The following is a 22,683-nucleotide window of genomic DNA, read 5'->3' as shown; positions in this document are numbered from 1 at the left end:
GACCAAATGGGTGTGGGTTTTTTCCCACACGCCAAGCAAGCAATCAGTTCCACAGTGAATACCAGCTGGGTGTCTTCCAACCCAGTAGAGTTAGAAACAGGAGTCAAAGACCAAATACGTATTTTACCACAACACAGGTGGCTTGAAGACCTTTTAATATAGTTACTAATAAGCTAATCTATATGTTTTAGAGTTTTACTCCCTTAGCCTTGTGCCCCTAATTTTTCTATGCAAATTAAATTAGGTTACTGAGAATTATTCATTCCTTCCTTAATCAGATCATATCTGTTGGAGAGAACGTTGTAGAACTTGTGAAAAGCTTCATTCAGCTGTTTCTTGGCATTTTGTTTCAAAATGTTATCTCTTCACATAGGATTTGGAAACACTTTGAGTTCAAGTACCAGGGGAAGTAAGCTACCCCTTCAAGAGTCAAAGAGCAAATTCCAAAGAGAAATGTCAAACAGGCAAGTTTTAGAACTTAGGTTTGTAATATTTGCAACTTTATATCCCCTTGACACATAGTTGGAGATGGGGATCAAGTTATTAGATGTCACAGATGCTAAAAGGTATTAGCCAACCTAAACCCTCTTAATCTTAGAGGTGTATTTCTCAAAGTGCTGTTGTGAAACCACCTGCATCAAAATCACTTTGAGGTGCATATTAAAAATGCACATTCTTAAGCCCCACATTAGATCTACCGAATTTTTGTCTCTGGGACTGGAGCCCAGGAACCTTCACTTTTAACAAGACTTGAAAACTGAATAGGAGTTTGACAACTAGAACAGAGGCAGATAGGCATTCCAGGTATAAGAAAGCATCTCTAAAGGGATAAGGCTTGAAAAGGTATCCCGTGCTCAAAGATCAGTAAAGTGTGGTATGTGTGGCCACAGCACAAAGTCTGTTGCTGAAGTCTTATTGTAAGGGCTTTGAGTGCTGTGCTTAGACACCTGTCCTGTACCCAGTCGGGTCGCAAACCCAAATACCTTCAAGATTTGGTGGGCCAAGGCCAACTGTAGAGTGTCCCATCTAAAGGGAGCAGCCACTACTCAGCTCCAAGCAGTTGTTACTGTGCAGGCAATGTGAGTCTAGTGTTATAAAATATTCTGACTTTTCAAGAAAAGCTAGGAATCTGAAATTTTATGTGATATCTTATTATTTTTAAATTTTGACAACTAATTCAAAAAAATGTGATATACTCTGTGGCACCCTCCTCCAAATAATAATAATATCTGTAGGCCAGATGTGTCCTAGGGCCCTCTAGTTTTTACCTGTATGGTAGGCAGTGAGAAACCATCCAAAATATTTAAGCACAGAAAAAACAATTTGATTTAAAAAATCATCCTAGCAGCAGTATGCAGAGTGAATCGTAGGGAGTGGGACTGCCAGAGGCATGGTGGCCAATGAGAAAGACAGACTATAATGAGGCCTAAACTACAGCAGAAGTGATGGGAACAGAGAGGTAGGGTTGGATTTTTAAAACATTTCAGAAATAGAGCAGATTCAGTGTGGCAATTGATAGGATATGATAGTTGAGGAAGAGGGAAGAATAAATGGCACCTAGGTAGATGTTATTTAAGGATATAGGAAACATAAGAGATTTAGAATGGAAAACATAATTTTATAAATCTTCAATTTGAAGTATCTTTACAAAAAATGCAAAATGCATTGGGAAATACTGGACTTGATTAGAAGTCAAGGGAGAGAAATGATGGCCAAAGCCAAAATTTTCAAAACAGAAGAAATACCAACAACTTTTTATTCAGGGTCTGATTTTCTACTTAAGGATTATTTATTTCTCTGCTTTAAAAAAATACTCGCGGTGGCTCACGCTTGTAATCCCAGCACTTTGGGAGGCCGAGGCGGGCGGATCACGAGGTCAGGAGATCGAGACCATCCTGGCTAACACGGTGAAACCCCGTCTCTACTAAAAATACAAAAAAATTAGCCGGGCGTGATGGCGGGCGCCTGTAGTCCCAGCTACTCGGGAGGCTGAGGCAGGAGAATGGCGTGAACCCGGGAGGCGGAGCTTGCAGTGAGCCGAGATTGCGCCACTGCACTTCCACCTGGGCCACAGAGCGAGACTCCGTCTCAAAAAAAAAAAAAAAAAAAAAAAAAAAAATACTAAATTTGTGGTATCCCTTGGAATTTTTGCTGTTATTTGGCCATTACTGATTATTAGTATCAGCATCACAGACTCATAGTTTTAATAGAATTCCAGAGCTAGGGGCGACTTTGGTATTGTTTAGTCTCCCTCTCACTGGATCTTTGAATCATCATTCAACATCACTGGCAAGTAATCATGCCACCTCTACCAAGACAGTTCCAGTGACCAGGAGCTCATTCACCCTTGTTCCATGTTAGGATTTCTTAAATCACTGAATAGCTTTTTAAAACATTTGCTTAAAATGAGTCTTTTTATCACTTTGTTTCTTTGGTTGTAACTCTTGAGTGACATAGAATAAACGGATATAACCATCCAAGTGAGACAAAGCTGTAGGTGTAGAGAAGCAAAAAGTAGGTAAATCATAAGGAGGAAGGTAACAAGGCATATGAACAGTTTTGTGCACCACACCTTTAAAAAACAACAAATACTTTTGGAAGAGTTTAGAAGGGACCAACAGAAGATGTGTGGGCTTAAAAATGGATTCTAACAAGAAGCCTCTGAGAACCTGGTGTAGAAGTTGCTGCTGGGGAAAAGGCCTGTGGGACCTGAGGATTTGGGGTGGAAAGGAGATTTGCTTTTTTACTTATTTAAGGTAGAGTACAGTGGCATAATTAGGGCTTACTGCAGCCTCAAGCTCTTGGGCTAAAGAGATCCTCCCACCTCGGCCTCCCAAGTAGCTGGGACTACAGGTACATACACACCACTATGCCTGGGTAATTAAAAAAAATTTTTTTTTTCTAGAGATGGGGGTCTTGCTATGTTGACTAAGCTGGCCTCAAACTCCTGGACTCAAGCTGTCCTCCCACCTCAACCTCCCAAAATGCTGGGATTATAGGTGTGAGCCACTGTGCCTGGCCTGCTTTTTCTTTTATACACTTTTTACTATTTTAATTCCTTGCCATGTATATATATTTATTAGTCAGAGACAAAACGATCCAATTCTATCAGTATATGTGATTCTTCCCTGTCTCCACCCACACTGCCCATTGCTCCTTACATGGCTGTTACATTTTAGCCTTCAGGTGTCAACTTAAATGGTTACCTCATCAGAGATGCATTGATGATCATCTTTTAAAAATGGGCTTATGGCTCCACACTATTATTTCTTATGCTATTACCCAGTTCATTTTCTTTTTATAATTTCAGGATTTATAATTATTTATATATTTGTTTTTATTCATTGTCTGCTTGATGGTAACTCCCTGACGTTTTCTTTATCACTTCATACACAGCTTCTAGTACAATATCTGGCATATAATAGTGAATAATAAATGTGTTTTAGTGAATGAGTTAATACAGAAGGTTCAGAGTAAATTCTTCTATACAGTTATATCTAATAAGATAACTAGAGATGTCTAACTACAATGAGACCAGAATAGAGAAAGGAGATTAAAAGTTAAGCAAGTGGAATTTAGAAAATGTTTATAGGGTTCTATGTAATAGACAATTAAGCATAAGACTCAATTTTAAAGAAAATTGTTGAATAATTATTTCTATAGTCCCTTAAAAATAGTACTTTTTCCTAATTTGGGATATGTAAATTATGGTTTGGTCTAAAGGAAAGGAAATATACCAAGCTCTCCATGAATATTAGAAACAATGCATTACATTTTTGTGATAAATGTGATAAACTTTGATCATATTCCCCAAAAATCATTATGATCCAAATTAAAATGGTTTTTCTTGTTTGCCGTATTTTACAAATAATTAATTTTAATTTTTAGTTTTGTTTCATCACATGAGATGTCGGATATTTCTTTATCAAATTCTGCTATGCCCAAGTTCAGTGCATCCTCCATGACAAAATTACCTCAACAAGCCGGAAATGCAGTTATTGTAAGAAGAAGCACTTCTTTGTTTTTCTTTTAAATTTTGCCCGAGTGCTTAAACTTTCAATGATTGTTATTTTTTATCTCAAATGTAGGTCCATTTTCAAGAAAGAAAACCACAAAATCTGTCACCAGAGATTGAGAAGCAATGCTTTACTTTCTCTGAAAAAAACCCAAATTCTTCAAATTATAAAAAAGTGGATTTTTTTATTAGAAACAGTGAATGTAAAAAGGAAGTTGATTTCAGGTAAGAACTCTTTAAAGACACTTTAAGATTATATCAATAAAAAACTTTTCACAAAGAAATTCAGCCTTCCGTTTTCCTTTTCATTTTAAAGATCACAGCCTGAACATTTCATTTATTAAAGACATTAAAATTTTCAAACCTCAGTGAGCTAAGCTCTTTAAGATGTTTCAAACATCATATACCTCAGTTTTTGAAAACCCGTATGTTTGATGCTGTTTATTCAAACATTATATTGAGTTGATAAACTTACTTTTACTGATTTGAATACAGTATGTTAATTTTGTAAAGGGTAAAGTCACTTGAGAAATCCAGATGAGATCAGCTAATTTTTCAAAAGTTGAAGTTGTATTTTAGTTAACCAGTTATTTCACAATCAACACGTTCAATGAAAATGTCAGATTAAATCTCATGGGTTCCCCCACTGCTGGCCATTTTAGAAAAGGAAACTGTGTTGCAGTTTCTCTCTCCTTGAAGAGTCAAAAGATTTGAGACCTGTTCACACTGTTTTGCTTTTGTTTAAGACTAGTCAAGTGAAGCAGTGGGGATGCAGAAGAAACAGAAATCTGTAACTGGTTGTGATCAATTAGTTGTAAACAACACTTCCCTTGGACCAGGCCATTCACACCTTTATTAAATGACATAACTTTTCAATATATTTAAAGAAATAACCTTTACAGTTCCTACCATTTGCATTTTATGAAGTCTAATTTTCCCCAACAGACTTCCTACAAAGTTATGCATACTGAAGTTTATTTGATACATTAACTTCATAGCAATCTTCAAGTTTATTTTATTGTGTTTAGTATTACATTATTTATTGTGTATTTTAAAATAAATTGTGTTAAAAAATAGTTATTTTTACTTTTTCTTCTTTCTCCCAGTATGTATCATCCTGATGATGAAGCTGATGAAATGAAGTCTTTATTGGGAATATTTGATGGTATTTTCTAAAACAAACAAATACTTTTTATATTGATAAGAGAAAGAATAAAGACACCTAATCACAAAGCATGCTTTTTATTTTTAAAAAGTAGTTCATAATTGTTCGGATTTTTTTCTCCTGTATTTGATTAGCTTTGTTCACTTTTTGCAACAAAATGTATGGGCCGATTTATTTTCCCATTATATTGTAACTTCTTGAAAAGCTCTTTTACAGTGGCTTTGTTTCAATAAGCCCTTAAGTTAAGGGCTGATTGCACTTAGAAATAAGTTGCACTTAGAAATAATTATTTGGCTATTAATTGGATTTTGACAAGAACCAATGTAAAATTTCATTTTTATATTTTCTTAACAAGAAGAAAAATATTCTATGAAAGCAAAGTAATGCTAACTTAATGAATCTGCTTATTGTATGGATTAATCACTAATATTATTCCCATGTATTTTGTTTTACTAAAGATTTTTAAGAATCCAGTGGCTATTTGAACCTACTGTTATCTAACTTTGAGCAACAATAAATGAAACATTAATCAGTATAGATTGTTGTTTTCATTTAGCTTGTTTTTCAATGTTGTCAATTCTAAAACTTTGTTGACTTTTACTGTAGTAAAAAGATATTTTATATTTTTTCCAATGAATTACATTTCAAATTCATTTATTGATAAGTATTATATAGGTACCCTAAGCAATATTTATTATCAAATTTATTAATAGGTACCATGAGAAGTTGAAGCCCACTTAAGAACTTTTAGAAAATTTTTTTTCTTTTTTTAAAAACTTTTATTTTAGATTCAGTGTTACCTGTGCAGGAGTGTTACATAGATAAACTCATTTCATGGGGATTTGTTGTACAGATTATTTCATGACCCAGGTACTAGGCCTAGTACTGAATAGTTATTTTTCCTGATCCTCTCCCTCCTCCCACTGTCCACCCTCAGGTAGGCCCCAGTGTCTGTTGTTCCCTTCTCTGTGTCCATGAGTTCTCATATTTAGCTCCTACTTATAAGTGAGAACATGCAGTATTTGGTTTTCTGTTCCTTTGTTAGTTTACTAAGGTTCCAGCTCCATCCATGTTCCCACAAAAGACATGGTCTTGTTCTTTATTATGGCTGTATATGTAAAACATTTTCTTTATCCAGTCTACCATTGATGGGCATTTAGGTGGATTCCATGTCTTTGTTATTGTGAATAGTGCTGTGATGAGCATAAGTGTGCATGTGTCTTTATGGTAGAATGATTTTTATTCCTTTGGCTATATACCCTGCGATGGGATTGCTGAGTCAAATGGTGATTCTGTTTTTAGCTCTTTGAGGAATCACCACACTGCTTTCCACAATACTTGAACTAATTTACACTCCCACTAACAGTGTATGTGTTCCCTTTTCTCTGCAACCTTGCCAGCATCTATTATTTTTTAACTTTTTAATAAGAGCCATTCTGACTGGTGTGAGATGGTATCTCATTGTAGTTTTGATTTGCATTTCTCTAATGATCAGTGATATTGGGCTTTTTATATATATATATGCTTGTTGGCCTCATGTATGTCTCCTTTTGAAACATGTTTGTTCATGTTCTTTGCCCACATTTTAATGAGATTGTTTTGGTTTTTTTTTTTCCTTGTAAATCTAAGTTCCTTAAGATTCTGGATATTAGATCTTTGTACAGATGCATAGTTTGCAATTTTTTCCCTTTCTGTAGGTTGTTTCTTTACTCTGCTGATAATTTCTTTTGCTGTGCAGAAGTTCTTAAGTTTAATTAGATCCCATTTGTCAGTTTTTCCTTTTGTTGACATTGCTTTTGGCATCATTGTCATGAAACCTTTGCCCATTCCTATGTCCCAAATGGTTTTTTTATATTTTTGCATTTTACAGTTAAGTCTTTAATCCATCTTGAATTGGTTTTTGTATATGGTGTAAGAGAAGGGTCCAGTTCAGTCTTCTGCATACAGCTTGCCAGTTATCCTAGCACGATTTATTGAATAGGGAGGGAGTCCTTTCCCCATTGTTTGTTTTTGACAGCTTTGTCAAAGATCAGATGGTTGTAGGTGTGCAGCCTTAATTCTGGGCTCTCTATTCATAGACATTGGTCTATGTGTCTGTTTTTGTACCAATACCATGATGTTTTGGTTATTGTTGCCCTTAGTACAGTTTGAAGTTGGGTAACGTGATACTTGCAGCTTTGCTCTTTTTGCTTAGGATTGCCTTGGCTATTTGGGCTCTTTTTTGGGTTCCATATGAATTTTAAAATAGTTTTTTCTAGTTCTGTGAAGAATGTCATTTGTAGTTTGATAGGAGTAGCATTGGATGCTACTTTGGGCAGTATGGCCATTTTAATGATGTTGATTATTCTTATCCATGAGGATGGAATGTTTTTCCATTTGTTTGTGTCATTTCTGATTTCTTTGAGCAGTGTTTTGTAATTCTCTTTGTAGATCTCTTTCACCTACTTGGTTAGCTGTATTCCTAGGTATTTTATTCTTTTTGTAGCAATTGTGAATGGGATTGTGTTCCTGATTTGGCCCTTGGCTTGGCTGTCATTGTTGTATAAGAATGCTAGTTATTTTTGTAGATTGATTTCGTATCCTGAAACTTGGCTGAAGTTGTTTATCAGCTGAAGGGGCTTTTGGGCCAAGACTATGGGGTTTTCTAGATATAGGATCTGGTCATCTGCAAACAAGGATAGTTTGTGTTTCTCTCTTCCTATTTGGATACTCTTTATTTCTTTCTCTTGCCTGATTGCTCTGGCCAGGACTTCCAATACTATGTTGAATAGGAGTAGTGAGAGAAGGCATCCTTGTCTTGCACTAGTTTTCAAAGGAAATGCTTCCAGCTTCTCCCCATTCATTGATGTTGGTTGTGGGTCTATTATAGATGGCTCTTATTATTTTGAGGTATATTCCTTCAGTACCTAGTTTATTGAGAGTTTTTTTTAACATGAATGAATGTTGAATTTTATCAAAAGCCTTTTCTTCATCTATTGAGAAAATTATGTGGTTTTTGTCCTTAGTTCTGTTTATGTGATGAATCACATTTATTGATTTGCGTATATTGAAACAGCCTTGCATCCAGGGATGAAGCCTACTTGATCATAGTGTATTAACTTTTTGATGTGCTGCTGGATTTGGTTGGCAAGTATTTTGTTGAGGATTTTTGCATCAATGTTCATCAAAGATATTGGCCTGAAGTTTCCTTTTTGTTGTCTCTTCCAGGTTTTGCAATCAGGAAGATACGGGCCTCATAGAATGAGTTGAGGAGGAGTCCCTCTTCCTCGATTTTTTTGGAATAGTTTCAGTAGGAATTGTACCTGCTCTTCTTTGTACATCTGGTAGAATTTGTCTGTGAATCTGTGTGTGGTCCTGGGCTTTTTTTGGTTGATAGGCTTTTTTTTTTTGAGACGGAGTCTTGGTCTTGTTGCCTAGGCTGGAGTGCAGTGGCGCGATCTTGGCTCACTGCAACCGCCGCCTCCGGGGTTCAGGTGATTCTCCTGCCTCAGCATCCCAAGTAGCTGGGACTACAGATGCACGCCACCACACCCAGCTAATTTTTGTATTTTTTAGTAGAGACGGGGTTTCACCATGTTGGCCAGGATGGTCTCGATCTCTTGGCCTCATGATCTGCCCGCCTCAGCCTCCCAAAGTACTGGGATTACAGGCATGAGCCACTGCGCCTGGCTGCTTGGCAGCCTTTTTATTACTGATTCAATTTTGGAGGTCATTACTGGTCTGCTCAGGGTATCAATTTCTTCCTGGTTCAGTCTTGAGAGGGCGTATGTGTCTAGGAATTTATCCATCTCTTCAAGGTTTTCTAGTTTGTGTGCATAGAGGTGTTCATAGTAGTTTCTGATGCTTATTTTTTTATTTTTTTGAGATGGAGTCTCACTCTGTTGCCCAGGCTGGGGTGCAGTGGGATTCGGCTCACTGCAAGCTCCGCCTCCTGAGTTCATGCCATTCTCCTGCCTCAGCCTTCCGAGTAGCTGGGACTGCAGGTACCTGCCACAATGCCCAGCTAATTTTTTGTATTTTTAGTACAAACGGGGTTTCACTGTGTTAACCAGGATGGTCTCGATCTCCTGACCTCGTGATCTGCCCACCTTGGCCTCCCAAAGTGCTGGGATTACAGGCATGAGCCACCGCGCCCAGCCTCTGATGCTTATTTTTATTTCTGTCGGGTCAGTGGTAACATCCCCTTTGTCATTTCTAATTGTGTTTATTTGAAATGTCTCCCTTTTTTCTTTATTAGTCTAGTAGCAGGCTATCTTATTAATTTTTTTAAATAACCAACTCCTAGATTCATTGATCTTTTGAATGGTTTTTGGTTTGCTCTTGCTTCTCTAATTTTTTTCAGTTATGACGTTAAGTTGTTAATTTGAGATCTAACTTACTAATGTAGGCATTTAGTGCTATGTATATCCCTCTCAACCACAGCCTTAGCTGTGTCCCAGAGATTCTTCTGTTTTTATCTTTGTTCTCATTAGTTTCAAAGAACTTCGTGACTTCTGCCTTAATTTCATTATTTACCCAAAAGTCATTCAGGAGGAGGTGGTTTAATTTCCATGTAATTGCATGGTTTTGAGTGATTATTTTAGTCTTGATTTCTATTTTTATTGCACTATGGTCCAAGAGTGTGTTTTGTATGATTTTAGTTCTTTTGCATTTGCTGAGGGTCATTTTATGTCCGATTTTGTGGTCAATTTTAGAGTAGGTGCCATGTGACAAGGAGAAGAATATGTTGTCTGTTGTTTTGGGGTGGAGAGTTCTATAGAGGTCTGTGAGATCCATTTGGTCCAATGTTGAGTTCAGGTCCTGAATATCTTTGTTAATTTTCTGCCTCACTGATCTGTCTAATACTGTCAGTGGAGTGTTGAAGTTTCCAACTGTTATTGTGTGGGAGTCTAAGTCTCTTTATAGGTCTCTAAGAACATGCCTTATGAATTTGGGTGCTCCTGTGTTGAGTGCATATATATTTAGGATAGTTAGGTCTTCTTGTTGGATTGAACCCTTTACCATTATGTAATGCCCTTCTTTGTCTTTTTAAATCTTTGTTGGTTTAAAGTCTGTTTTGTCTGAAATTAGGGTTGTAACCTCTATTTTCTTATTTCCATTTGCATGGTGATTTTTCTCCATCCCTTTATTTTGAGCCTGTGGGTGTCATTGTGTGTGAGATGGGTCTCTTGAAGAGAGCATACCATCATTAGGTCTTGCTTTTTTATCCAGCTTGCCACTTTGCCTTTTTTTTTTAAGACAGATTCTCACTCTGTTGCTCAGGCTGGCTGGAGTACAGTGGTACAATCTCGGATCACTGAAACCTCCACATCCCAGTTTTAAGCAATTCTCATGTCTCAAGCTCCTGAGTAGCTGGGATTACAGGCATGTGCCACCATGCCCAGCTAATTGTTGGTTGTTTTTTTTTTTTTTTTTTGAGATGGAGTCTCGCTCTGTCGCCCAGGCTGGAGTGCAGTGGTGCGATCTCGGCTCACTGCAAGCTCCACCTCCCAGGTTCACGCCATTCTCCTGCCGCGGTATTTTTAGTAGAGATGGGCTTCACTATGTTGGCCCGGCTGTTCTCAAACTCCCGGCCTTAGTGATCTGCCCACCTCAGCCTCCCAAAATGCTGGGATTACAGTGCCCAGCCCCTTTGCCTTTTAAATGGGGGCATTTAGCCTATTTACATGCAAGGTTAGTATTGATATGTGTGGATTTGATCCTGTAATTGTGTTGTTAGCTGGTTATTATGCCAGCTTGTTTGTGTGGTTGCTTTATAGTGTCACAGTAGTCTGTGTCCTTAAGTGTGTTTTTGTATTGGCTGGTAATGGTTTTTCCTTTCCATATTTAGTGCTTCTTTCAAGATATCTTGTAAGGTGGGTCTTTTGATAATGAACTCCTTCAGCATTTGCTTATCTGAAAAGGATTTTATTTCTCCTTTGCTTAGGAAGCTTAGTTTGGCTGGATATGAAATCCTTAGTTGAAGTTTTTTTCTTTAAGAATGTTCAATATAGGCCCCCAATCTCTTCTGGCTTATGGGGTTTCAGCTGAGTAGTCTGCTGTTAGCTTGATGGGGTTCCCTTTGTAGGTGGCTTGCCTTTTCTCTCTAGCTGCCTTTAACGTTCTCTCTTTCATTTTGACCTTGAGAAGTCTGATGATTATGTGTCTTGGGGATTATTTTCTTGTGTAGACTCTTGCAGGGATTCTCTGTATTTCCTGAATTTGACTGTTGGCTTCTCTAGCAAGGTTGGGGAATTTTCATGGATGATATCCTGAAATATATTTTCCAGGTCATTTGCTTTCTCCCTGTCCCTTTGAGGGATGCCAATGATCTGTAGATTTGGCCTCTTTTCATAGTCCCACATTTCTTGGAGGTCTTGTTCATTCCTTTTCATTCTTTTTTCTTTATTTTTGTCTGACTTATTTCAGAAAGCCAGTCTTCAAGTTCTGAGATTCTTTCCTCAGCTTGGTCTTTTCTGCTGTTATTACTTGTGATTGCATTGTGAAATTCTTGTAGGGTGAGTTCCATCAATCAGTTAGGTCCTTTTTTATACCAGCTGTTTCATCTGTCAGCTCCTGTATCCTTTTATTGTGTTTCTTAGTTTCCTTGGATTGGGTTTTGCCATTCTCCTGAATCTCAATAATCTTTGTTCCTATCTATATTCTGAATTCTGTTTCTGTCATTTCAGCCAACACAGCCTGGTTAAGAATCCTTGTTGGAGGACGTGGACACTGACCATTTGAGTTGCTGGAGTTCTTGCATTGGTTCTTTCTCACCTCTGTGTGTGGGTGTTTCTTTAACTGCTGTGTAGATTGAGTACAGTCAGTAGATCTGTTTTCTAGATGTTTTCACAAGGCCAAGGCTTTTTGCATGGTCTTTATTTGTAGTTGACTTCTTGTCTTTGGCTTCACAGTGGGTATGTTAGCAAGGTATTTTTGGTGTTGAAGCTTTGGGGTGTGATCCAGTAGGTGGTGCTTAGGGGTAGTGGTCAGTTGGTAGGTAGGCCCTTGCTCAGTTGTGTGGCTCCCCTATATTTCTGCAGTTGCAGCTGTGCTCCCTCGCAATGCTCTGAAAGTGTGGGCTCCTCTCCTACTTGAATACTGGCTGTAGATCATGGCTTGGCCCTCTCCCAGGCTGCCCACCACAGCTCTGGGGTGATCTCAGGGTTTATGTTTCCTCCTCAACTTGGAAGCAGCAGAGGAAGGGATCTTCATAGTAGTTGTGACCAAGGATCTTTTGCCTGTTTCCTGTAGGCACCACCCCCAGAGAGATGAAGGTCAGCAATTGCTCAGTGCAATCAGCCCAGGATAGGGGGGTTCTGTGTGTGGGCCCAAGTCAGGGGTTCCCTGCCTGGTGATGAGCAGAGGATGTGGGTGAGATCCATAGGAGACAGACTGGCCTCCTCTCCTTCAGTTGACTGCAGCTTGTTGGAGGTGTGGATAAATCACTTAGGGTCTTCATTAGTCTGAGGATAGCAGGGGTAGTACCACTGCAGAGGCAATGGCAGAGAGGCTTTGGGTTGCAAAACACCAGTGGGGGTGACTAGAGACCCCAGCTGGGAGATTCTGCCCAGTGAAGAGAAATGTGGTCTGGGATCCATGTGAATAAGCAGTTTGACTGCCTCTCTGTATAGCTTCTGGGCTATGCCAAGGGACCACTGCAGTCCCTAGTCAACTCGGACTCCCTAGAGCCCAAAGGCAACAATGGCTAAGGCTGTGAAATAACAGAGATGGTGGCCTCTCTCTCCCCTTGGGAGCTCCATCTCAGGGAGGTGTAATGCTGCCACCAGTGGCTGGCTTGTTTCCCAAGCCAGTGGGTCTTACCCTGCAAGATGCCATGGAAACAAGGCCTGCAGACTGTCACTGCTCGGCCCCCAGGATTCAGCCCATTTCCTAGGGACATGTATAGGGGTCTAACCTCCTGCTTTGCCAGAGTTGCAGCTGCTTTTGCTAGGAAGCCTGGGTATCTAAGGCTGCTGGGGCTGTGTGTGTGTGTGTCTGAGTGGCTGCTCTGCCACGACTCCATGTAGCTCAGCGTGTCAGACTGAAGGCCCTGATGGGGTGGATCCATGAGAGGATCTCCTGACCTGAGAGTTGCAAAGATTCATGGGAGAAGTGTGGGTCTCAGGGGTTGTTCACTCACTCACCACTTCCCTGGGCCGAGGAGGTGCTCCTGGCTCCATGTCACTCCTGGGTGGGCAGCCATCCTGCCTTGCTTTTCTCCATTCTCCATGGGTCAGCTTATTTCCTTGATGCGTTTCCAATGTGTGTACTTGGATGTTTCCATTGAAGGTGCTGTATTTATACTCACCCATTACATTTCTCTTCATGAGAGTGGCATACACTAGCTACTTCTGTTCAGTCATGTTGTCCAACTCCGTATCAATATTTTTTTCTTTAAGCATAAAAACCTTGGAGATAAGAGAAGTAAAGAAGAGAGACTCCCACATGAAATTGTTATTGTTATTATTGGTAAACATCTATGAGGCATCATATGAATTAAACTTAGATAAAAAGCTTAAAACAAAACTAAGACTTTGTCCCTGTGTTGAAAAATAAGGATAATCGTCCCTTTATTTTAGTCCTTTTTACAACTGGTGTGTTTCTGCATCTGAATCAATCAGGCTACAACCTTTAAAGGTTCTTAAACACCATTAAAATGAAAAATTGGTGCACTACAGTCTGCTCATCTCACATACATAGATGTTGACACTAAAGAAACAGCAGTTTAATTCAGCATGACTTATTGTGATCTGCTAAGTGAAGATGTACTTGGTACTGTAAAGGATGAAAACACTGTTTCTTTTCTTGTGGAGCTTAGTTTACATTCTGGTAGAGAAGTTAAGATACATAATAAAGTAATAATAAAATATAGAATACATCACAGCAATACCCAGAAACTGTTTGCTAAAGAGATTAATATGGCTAGAAGGGAATCTGGTACTAATCATCAGGACAATGGGAGAAAGACCCTGAAGGCATTTCAGAGATCTTTGAGGCTGCTCCCCCGATCACAGTCTGAGAATGTTAGGATCTTCAGGGCAGCAAGGGCTTGCTGCCTTGAGCCTAGGTAGGGTAGGCTAGGGTCTCTCTGCTCTCTGCATTCAGGAACAGGACTCCTCAGCCAGTTGTGGCTCAACTGGCCTCAGGTACAGCTCAACTTGTTGCTCCAAACGGTACAAACTGTAAACCTTGGCAGCACCACACCTTCATTCAAACAGGCCCAGATGTGGCGCTTGCTCAAACTACAGAAGGTGCAAGCTGTAAGCCTTGGTAGTTCCATGTGCAGAATGCAAGAACTATGGATGTGTGGCTTCCCCCACTTAAATATCTGAGGGTGATTGAAAAGCCTAGGGGCCCAGGTAGTGATTTGTCATAGGGGTGCAACCACTGCTGAGTTCCATTACTAGGGTAATGCTTAGTAGAGCCACAGGGGCTGGGCCACCCTTGAGACCCCAGAATTGTAGAGTCACTGGCAGGGGGTAATGCCTGCCCGGGAAAGTTACAGGCACCAGATTCCAACCCATGAAAGCAGCCACATGGGCTGCACCAACAAAGCCATAGGGGCAGGGCTGCCTGATGCCTTCAGGGCTCCACCTCCAACCCTAGTGTGCATGGAGTTTAGGGAAATTATTCTCCAACTTTAAAATTTAATGTCTAACCTGCTGGGTTTTGAACTTGCTTTGGGCCTGTTACTCCCTTCTTCTTGCCTGTTTCTCCCTTTTGGAATAGGAATGTATACCCTATGCCTGTCCCACCATTGTATCTGGAAAATAGATAACTTGTTTTGATTTCATAGTTTCCTAGATGAGACTCTGGGCTTTGGACTTTTAAGTTGGTGCAGGACGAGTTACGATTTTGGCGATTTTGGGGATGGGATGATTTTGCATTGTAAGAAGGACATGAGTTTGGGGAGTGAGGAGCAGAATGCTGTGGTTTCTTCTGACCAGAACTCATGCTGAGGCTTCGTCCCCAGTGTGGCGGTATTGAGGAGGAAGTAAAAGCATGGAAAAGTAAGGTGATTAGGTTGTTAAGAGGAATTAATGCCATTCTCAAAGGAGTAGTTCTAACTCTGCAGGACTGGTTAGTTACTGCGAGGCCAAGTGGTTATATACAGTGAGGCTACCTCTCATGTTTGGTCTCCTTGCACTTGCCTGCCTCCCCTTCTGCTTCTTTGGCATATTATGATGAAGCATGAGGCCCTTACCAGAAGCCAGCCGGATGTGGTTAACTGATCTTGGACTTCCCAGCCTCCAGAATCATGAGCTAAAATAGACCTCTTTCCTTTATAAATTACTCAGCCACAGGTATTCTATTATAGCAACAGGAAACAGACTAAGACAATCTCCTAAGTAATCAAAATGAATAGAAAATTAACAGCGTTATTGTAGACATGCCAAACTTTTTGCAAGTGTTTACCTGGAAAATTATATGTACATTAAATATATGTAACTCAAAAAATCCCTGTTACGTATACTAGCCACTTAACTCCAATCACTGGCTATTCTTTTCATGAAATGAATAATAACCCTAAGTTTTCCTATCCTTAAGTTTTAAATATATTGGATATATTTATTCATATAGGATAAACCATACAATGGAGCTTTTCACAAAACTCACAGTTGGGTTAAATTTTTTCAAAAGGTTTCCCAATTAAAAATTTCCTCGAGAAGAAACTGCATCAACTAACAAGCAAAATAACCAGCTAACATCATAATGACAGGATCAAATTCACACATAACAATATTAACCTTAAATGTAAGTGGGCTAAGTGCTCCAATTAAAAGACACAGACTGGTAAATTCGATAAAGAGTTAAGACCCATCAGTGTGCTGTATTCAGGAGACCCATCTCACATGCAGAGACACACATAGCCTCAAAATAAAGGGATGGAGGAAGATCTACCAAGCAAATGGAAAACAAAAAAAAGCAGAGGTTGCAATCCTAGTCTCTGATAAAACAGACTTTAAACCAACAAAGATCAAAAGAGGCAAAGAAGGCCATTACATAATGGTAAAGGGATCAATTCAACAAGAAGAGCTAACTGTCCTAATTATATATGCACCCAATACAGGAGCACCCAGATTCATAAAGCAAGTCCTTAGAGACCTACAAAGAGACTTAGACTCCCACACAATAATAATGGGAGACTTTAACACCCCACTGTCAACAATAGACAGATCAACGAGACAGAAAGTTAACAAGAATATCCAGGAATTGAACTCAGCTCTGCACCATGTGGACCTAATAGACATCTACAGAACTCTCCACCCCAAATCAACAGGATATACATTCTTCTCAGCACCACATCACACTTATTCCAAAATTGACCACATAGTTGGAAGTAAAGCACTCCTCAGCAAATGTAAAAGAACAGAAATTATAACAAACTGTCTCTCAGACCACAGTGCAATCAAACTAGAACTCAGGATTAAGAAATTCACTCAAAACTGCATAACTACATGGAAACTGAACAACCTGCTCCTGAATGACTACTGGGTACATAATGAAATGAAGGCAGAAATAAAGATGTTCTTTGAAACCAATGAGAACAAAGACACAACATACCAGAATCTCTGGGACACATTCAAAGCAGTGTGTAGAGGGAAATTTATAGCACTAAATGCCACAAGAGAAAGCAGGAAAGATCTAAAATTGACACCCTAACATCACAATTAAAAGAACTAGAGAAGCAAGAGCAAACACATTCAAAAGCTAGCAGAAAGCAAGAAATAACTAAGATCAGAGCAGAACTGAAGGAGATAGAGACACAAAAAACCCTTCAAAACATCAATGAATCCAGGAGCTGGTTTTTTGAAAAGATCAACAAAATAGATAGACTGCTAGCAAGACTAATAAAGAAGAGAGAAGAATCAAATAGATGCAATAAAAAATGATAAAGGGGATATCACCACTGATCCCACAGAAATACAAATTACCATCAGAGAATACTATAAACACCTCTACGCAAATAAACTAGAAAATCTAGAAGAAATGGATAAATTCCTTGACACATACACCCTCCCAAGACTAAACCAGAAAGAAGTTGAATCCCTGAATAAAACAATAACAGGCTCTGAAATTGAGGCAATAATTAATAGCCTACCAACGAAAAAAAGTTCAGGACCAGACAGATTCACAGCCAAATTCTAGCAGAGGTACAAGGAGGAGCTGGTACCATTCCTTCTGAAACTATTCCAATCGATAGAAAAAGAGGGAATCCTCCCTAAATCATTTTATGAGGCCAGGATCATCCTGATACCAAAGCCTGGCAGAGACATAACAAAAAAAGAGAATTTTAGACCAATATCCCTGATGAACATCAATGCAAAATCCTCAATAAAATACTGGCAAACGGAATCCAGCAGCACATCAAAAAGCTTATCCACCATGATCAAGTGGGCTTCATCCTGGGGATGCAAGGCTGGTTCAACACACGAAAATCAATAAACGTAATCCAGCATATAAACAGAACCAAAGACAAAAACCACATGATCTCAAGAGATGCAGAAAAGGCCTTCAACAAAATTCAACAGCCCTTCATGTTAAAAACTCTCAATAAATTAGGTATTGATGGGACGTATCTCAAAATAATAAGAGCTATTTATGACAAACCCACAGCCAATATCATACTGAATGGACAAAAACTGGAAGCATTCCCTTTGAAAACTGGTACAAGACAGGGATGCCCTCTCTCACCACTCCTATTCAACATAGTGTTGGAAGTTCTGGCCAGGACAATCAGGCAGGAGGAAGAAATAAGGGGTATTCAATTAGGAAAAGAGGAAGTCAAATTGTCCCTGTTTGCAGATGACATGATTGTATATCTAGAAAACCCCATCGTCTCAGCCCCAAATCTCCTTAAGCTGATAAGCAACTTCAGCAAAGTCTCAGGATACAAAATCAATGTGCAAAAATCACAAGCATTCTTATACACCAGTAACAGACAAACAGCCAAATCATGAGTGAACTCCCATTCACAATTGCTTCAAAGAGAATAAAATACTTAGGAATCCAGCTTACAAAGGATGTGAAGGACCTCTTCAAGGAGAACTACAAACCACTGCTCAACAAAATGAAAGAGGACACAAACAAATGGAAGAAAGTTCCATGCTCATGGATAGGAAGAACCAATATCGTGAAAATGGCCATACTGCCCAAGGTAATTTATAGATTCAGTGCCATCCCCGACAAGCTACCAATGAGTTTCTTCACAGAACTGGAAAAAACTAAAGTTCATATGGAACCAAAAAAGAGCCTGCATTGCCAAGTCAATCCTAAGCCAAAAGAACAAAGCTGGAGGGATCACGCTACCTGACTTCAAACTATACTACAAGGCTACAGTAACCAAAACAGCATGATACTGGTACCAAAACAGAGATATAGACCAATGGAACAGAACAGAGCCCTTAGAAATAATACCACACATCTACAACCATCTGATCTTTGACAAACCTGAGAAAAACAAGCAATGGGGAAAGGATTCCCTATTTAATAAATGGTGCTGGGAAAACTGGCTAGCCATATGTAGAATGCTGAAACTGGATCCCTTCCTTACACCTTATACAAAAATTAATTCAAGATGGATTAAAGACTTACATGTTAGACCTAAAACCATAAAAACCCTAGAAGAAATCCTAGGCAATACCATTCAGGACATAGGCATGGGCAAGGACTTCATGTCTAAAACACCAAAAGCAACAGCAACAAAAGCCAAAATTGACAAATGGGATCTAATTAAACTAAAGAGCTTCTGCACAGCAAAAGAAACTACTATCAGAGTGAACAGGCAACCTACAGAATGGGAGAAAATTTTTGCAACCTACTCATCTGACAAAGGGCTAATATCCAGAATCTACAAAGAATGCAAACAAACTTACAAGAATAAAACAACCCCATCAAAAAGTGAGTGAAGGATATGAACAGACACTTCTCAAAAGAAGACATTTATGCAACCAAAAGACACATGAAAAAATGCTCATCATCACTGGCCATCAGAGATATGCAAATCAAAACCACAATGAGATACCATCTCACACCAGTTAGAATGGCGATCATTAAAAAGTCAGGAAAAACAGGTGCTGGAGAGGATGTGGAGAAATAGGAACACTTTTACACTGTTGGTGGGACTGTAAACTAGTTCAACCATTGTGGAAGTCAGTGTGGCGATTCCTCAGGGATCTAGAACTAGAAATACCATTTGACCCAGCCATCCCCTTACTAGGTATATACCCAAAGGACTATAAATCATGCTGCTATAAAGACACATGCACACGTATGTTTATTGCGGCATTATTCACAATAGCAAAGACTTGGAACCAACCCAAATGTCCATCAATGATAGACTGAATTAAGAAAATGTGGCACATATACACCATGGAATACTATGCAGCCATAAAAAAGGATGAGTTCATGTCCTTTGTAGGGACATGGATGAAGCTGGAAACCATCATTCTCAGCAAACTATCACAAGGACAAAAAACCAAACACTGCCTGTTCTCACTCATAGGTGGGAATTGAACAATGAGAACACTTGGACACAGGAAGGGGAACATCACACACTGGGGCTTGTCGTGGGGTGGGGGGAGGGGGGAAGGATAGCATTAGGAGATATACCTAATGTAAATGATGAGTTAATGGGTGCAGCACACCAACATGGCACATGTATACATATGTAACAAACCTGCACATTGTGCACATGTACCCTAGAACTTAAAGTATAATAAAAAATAAAGAGAAAATTTCCTCGATAGGCTATATTTTCCTATCTTATTGGCATAATGGCACCTACCACGTAGATACATAGTGAGAACTTACTAAGCCACTGCATAGAGATGTCTTAGTTTAGATGTGGATACATAGTATGGGTTCAACATATGGTAGATATTTGTACCCCCAAAACATTCTTAACAGCACTTTAAATAATCCATTGAGAAGGGGGAAAATAATACAATGTCCATTTGTATTATTTTGGTTGCATTAGAACTTGACAGATGAAATCTTGACTTTCCACAGGTGTATTATTCATAAAAGAATTTATCCCAGACTACCCTCCTACATATACTTCCTCGTGCTTTCAGGCAGATCCTCCTCTCTTCATCTCCTCCTCTCCAACACTGTTAGTTGGTGTATGGTCAGGGCATACAAATATATTTTATTACCTTAAGTAAAATGTAATTAATAAATAAATCTCCTGCAAATTCTATTATAATAAATTCTAAAGCCAAATTGAAATGATTGCAGAATTATTCACTGTTTTAAGTTTTGGCACAATTTACCCCTTAGTAGAGTCATTCAGAGTCTTTTTACCATGACCCTATTTCTAGAAAACATTCTCGTCAAGCACAGTAGGGAACCATTCTTTGAGGACCCTTAGCCTATGGGTCACATGGATAGTATTACCTATGGCATGCTAGATAATAACAGGTATGTATATTTAAGAACTTTTCTTTTGTGGGAATAGAGTAGGTACCAGTGAGAAGGAAGTAAAAGCATGGAAAAGTAACTAAGCTAAGAATTACGCTAAGTAAATAAGCTAAGAATTTCAGTCTGGGTTTTGAATAGGTCGTAGAACAAAACAAAAAGGAAAACCCTGGCACTTCTTATCTTTTGTCATTTCAACTCCTGGCTGCCCATAGTTAAGGGCCTTGCCACTCAATCTGAAGACTAGTAACACGGGAAACCCCTGGGAGCTGGTTAGAAGCTCAGCATCTCAGGCCACACCCCAGGCTTTCTGAGTAAGAATCTGCATTTTAACAAGATCCCCAGGTGATGATGTACACACCAAAGTGTAAGAAGCACTTGTTTAAGGTGGAAAGGAAAGGAAAGTAGGCACTATCAGAATTTTAAGAGAATCCATTCCAGGAGACAAATATAAGAGTAATGATGATTACTTGGTTTTCTGCACATACATTTCCTATTTTAAATATAATGTAATATAGCTCTTGTTTAATTGCCTTTCAGTATAGGCTGTTTCCTTTACCAACTGTGTAAATTATCTTTATAATTCCAATGCATCAACTGGGTATTCTTTTTATGTAGCTTGAGAGGCACTTAGATGCTCTATAAAGTTTTGTTTTAATTAACATAATAAAAGCAGATAATTCAAAAGAACAATCTTTGTTTCAGTCTGGAAACCTTTCCATAAACTAACATACACCTTAAAAATTCCTACGTACTTTAGCAAAACAAAATGGAAACAAACCAAAAAAAAAAAAAAACCTGGTAATATTCTATTCTGAAAGATTTAGAAAAATGTGCATAAACCTGCACTTGCGTATTGTGTGTTGTAGCTATAACATTTTTACTTTAAAAAGGAATTAAAATTAAGCTGACAGTATTTTGCCTGAAGTACCTCCTTATGACAGTAGATGGCTTCAATTATTTAGAAATTATATACATAATAAAGTATTTTTTTTAAGTTTCTATATTGATCAGTTTGGAAACGTAAACCTTTTACCATTTAGAAACTAGAAAAGCAATTTTAAAGTTAAAATGGTTTTACCACAATTTTTTACATGACTGATTTACTCTGCATTTTTTAAAATTTCTGTAATTTTATTCTTTCTGTTATCTGACATGTTTTTAAACAAGGGAAATAATTGAATGGTACAATGAAAGAACCTTAGAGATTCTAGTTCAAAATTTCAGCTTATAGAAGGGAAAACAGCCCCCTAGAATATTAAATGCCTTGCCTGTAGTTTCTCTGCAAGTAATTTGTAGAACGAGAACTGGAACCCAGGTTGGTTTATTGCTTTTCCTACTTCAATTCCTAATGTTGAGGGTTATATCTCAATGCTCACTTTTTTTAAAGTTTTTATCTTTTGTTCAGAAATGTAAAATGTACTTTACTGTCTTCTTCCTTAAATGTGTTAAGGAACTCTTTTCTGCTATGGACTTATAATAATCCAATTCTAAACACATTGTTACCCATAATTGTTGCTACACTTACACTTACACTTTTGAAATATAGTGGACATACAGTATATGGTATGTGACAGAGTAGAACAGTCTCGCTATGCATTATTGTTTGAAAACAGCCAACTATCTTATTGTTCTTTCATTTAATGGTGATTGAAGAGTTGCTATCTGTTACCCATTGTATCATGAAGAAGTCCTAGAGAGATAAATATGGCTGTATTGTATTTCAAGGGGGCTCATTGATGACCTAGGTAACAGTGATCAAAATGCAATACAAATATATGGATCTTTGAAATTATCAAGAGCTTTAAAAATTAATATCACCACCATCAAATTATATTACCAAATGTCTCTGTTTTCAAGTTTTCTCTGGACTCCACAGAAGATGTATTGTGTCTAAAATTCTTAAGGAGATAACATGCAGACATGGTCAAATTTTACAAAAAGAAAAGCTACACATTCTTTTGGATAGTAGATTTTAGAAAGAGGATGCAGTAAATTTGGAGAGTAACAAGAAGTCACTGAGGAACAGATTGACCAGCAGATTGTAGAAGGAGATGAAGAGGCAAGGATAGGAACTGAAAACACTAAGAAATCCTCGCTG

General features: G+C 38.5%; 1 protein-coding gene across 15 annotated transcripts in view, besides 2 other annotated features; it reads left to right on the top strand.

Annotated features, from left to right (window-relative positions):
• HFM1 (helicase for meiosis 1) overlaps positions 1-5,715 on the top strand; it is a 147,242-nt gene extending 141,527 nt beyond the window's left edge. For 13 of the 15 annotated variants that reach the window (NR_165455.1, XM_011540852.3, XM_011540857.2 and 10 more), the window contains 4 exons: positions 374-464; positions 3,889-4,000; positions 4,089-4,240; positions 5,122-5,715. Coding sequence is in view for 14 of the 15 variants with exons in the window: in XM_011540852.3 (XP_011539154.1) it covers positions 374-464; positions 3,889-4,000; positions 4,089-4,240; positions 5,122-5,191 (425 nt within the window). In the remaining variant the exon portion in view is untranslated. Of the gene's footprint in view, positions 1-373; positions 465-3,888; positions 4,001-4,088; positions 4,300-5,121 lie in introns of those variants that run through there. The other 2 variants (XM_047447938.1, XM_047447940.1) reach the window with 2 other exon arrangements.
• Positions 13,189-13,361: a silencer, noted in NCBI's record as "fragment chr1:91718677-91718849 (GRCh37/hg19 assembly coordinates)". NCBI's record gives its function as "represses an EF-1alpha promoter that drives an FKBP-Casp9 reporter gene in an ReSE screen in HepG2 liver carcinoma cells and phorbol 12-myristate 13-acetate-treated (for megakaryocytic differentiation) K562 erythroleukemia cells {active_cell/tissue: HepG2 | K562(+PMA)}" and the evidence as "EXISTENCE:reporter gene assay evidence [ECO:0000049][PMID:32094911]".
• Positions 14,179-14,679: an enhancer, noted in NCBI's record as "H3K4me1 hESC enhancer chr1:91717359-91717859 (GRCh37/hg19 assembly coordinates)". NCBI's record gives its function as "activates a minimal SCP1, AML or CMV promoter by ChIP-STARR-seq in naive H9 embryonic stem cells {active_cell/tissue: H9 hESC(naive)}" and the evidence as "EXISTENCE:reporter gene assay evidence [ECO:0000049][PMID:30033119]".

This window comes from Homo sapiens, chromosome 1 (assembly GCF_000001405.40).
Source record: "Homo sapiens chromosome 1, GRCh38.p14 Primary Assembly".
In the NCBI taxonomy this organism is placed as follows: Eukaryota; Metazoa; Chordata; class Mammalia; order Primates; family Hominidae; genus Homo; species Homo sapiens.
The sequence above is the reverse complement of the archived record's forward strand: the minus strand, read 5'-3'. Positions and strand labels throughout refer to the sequence as shown.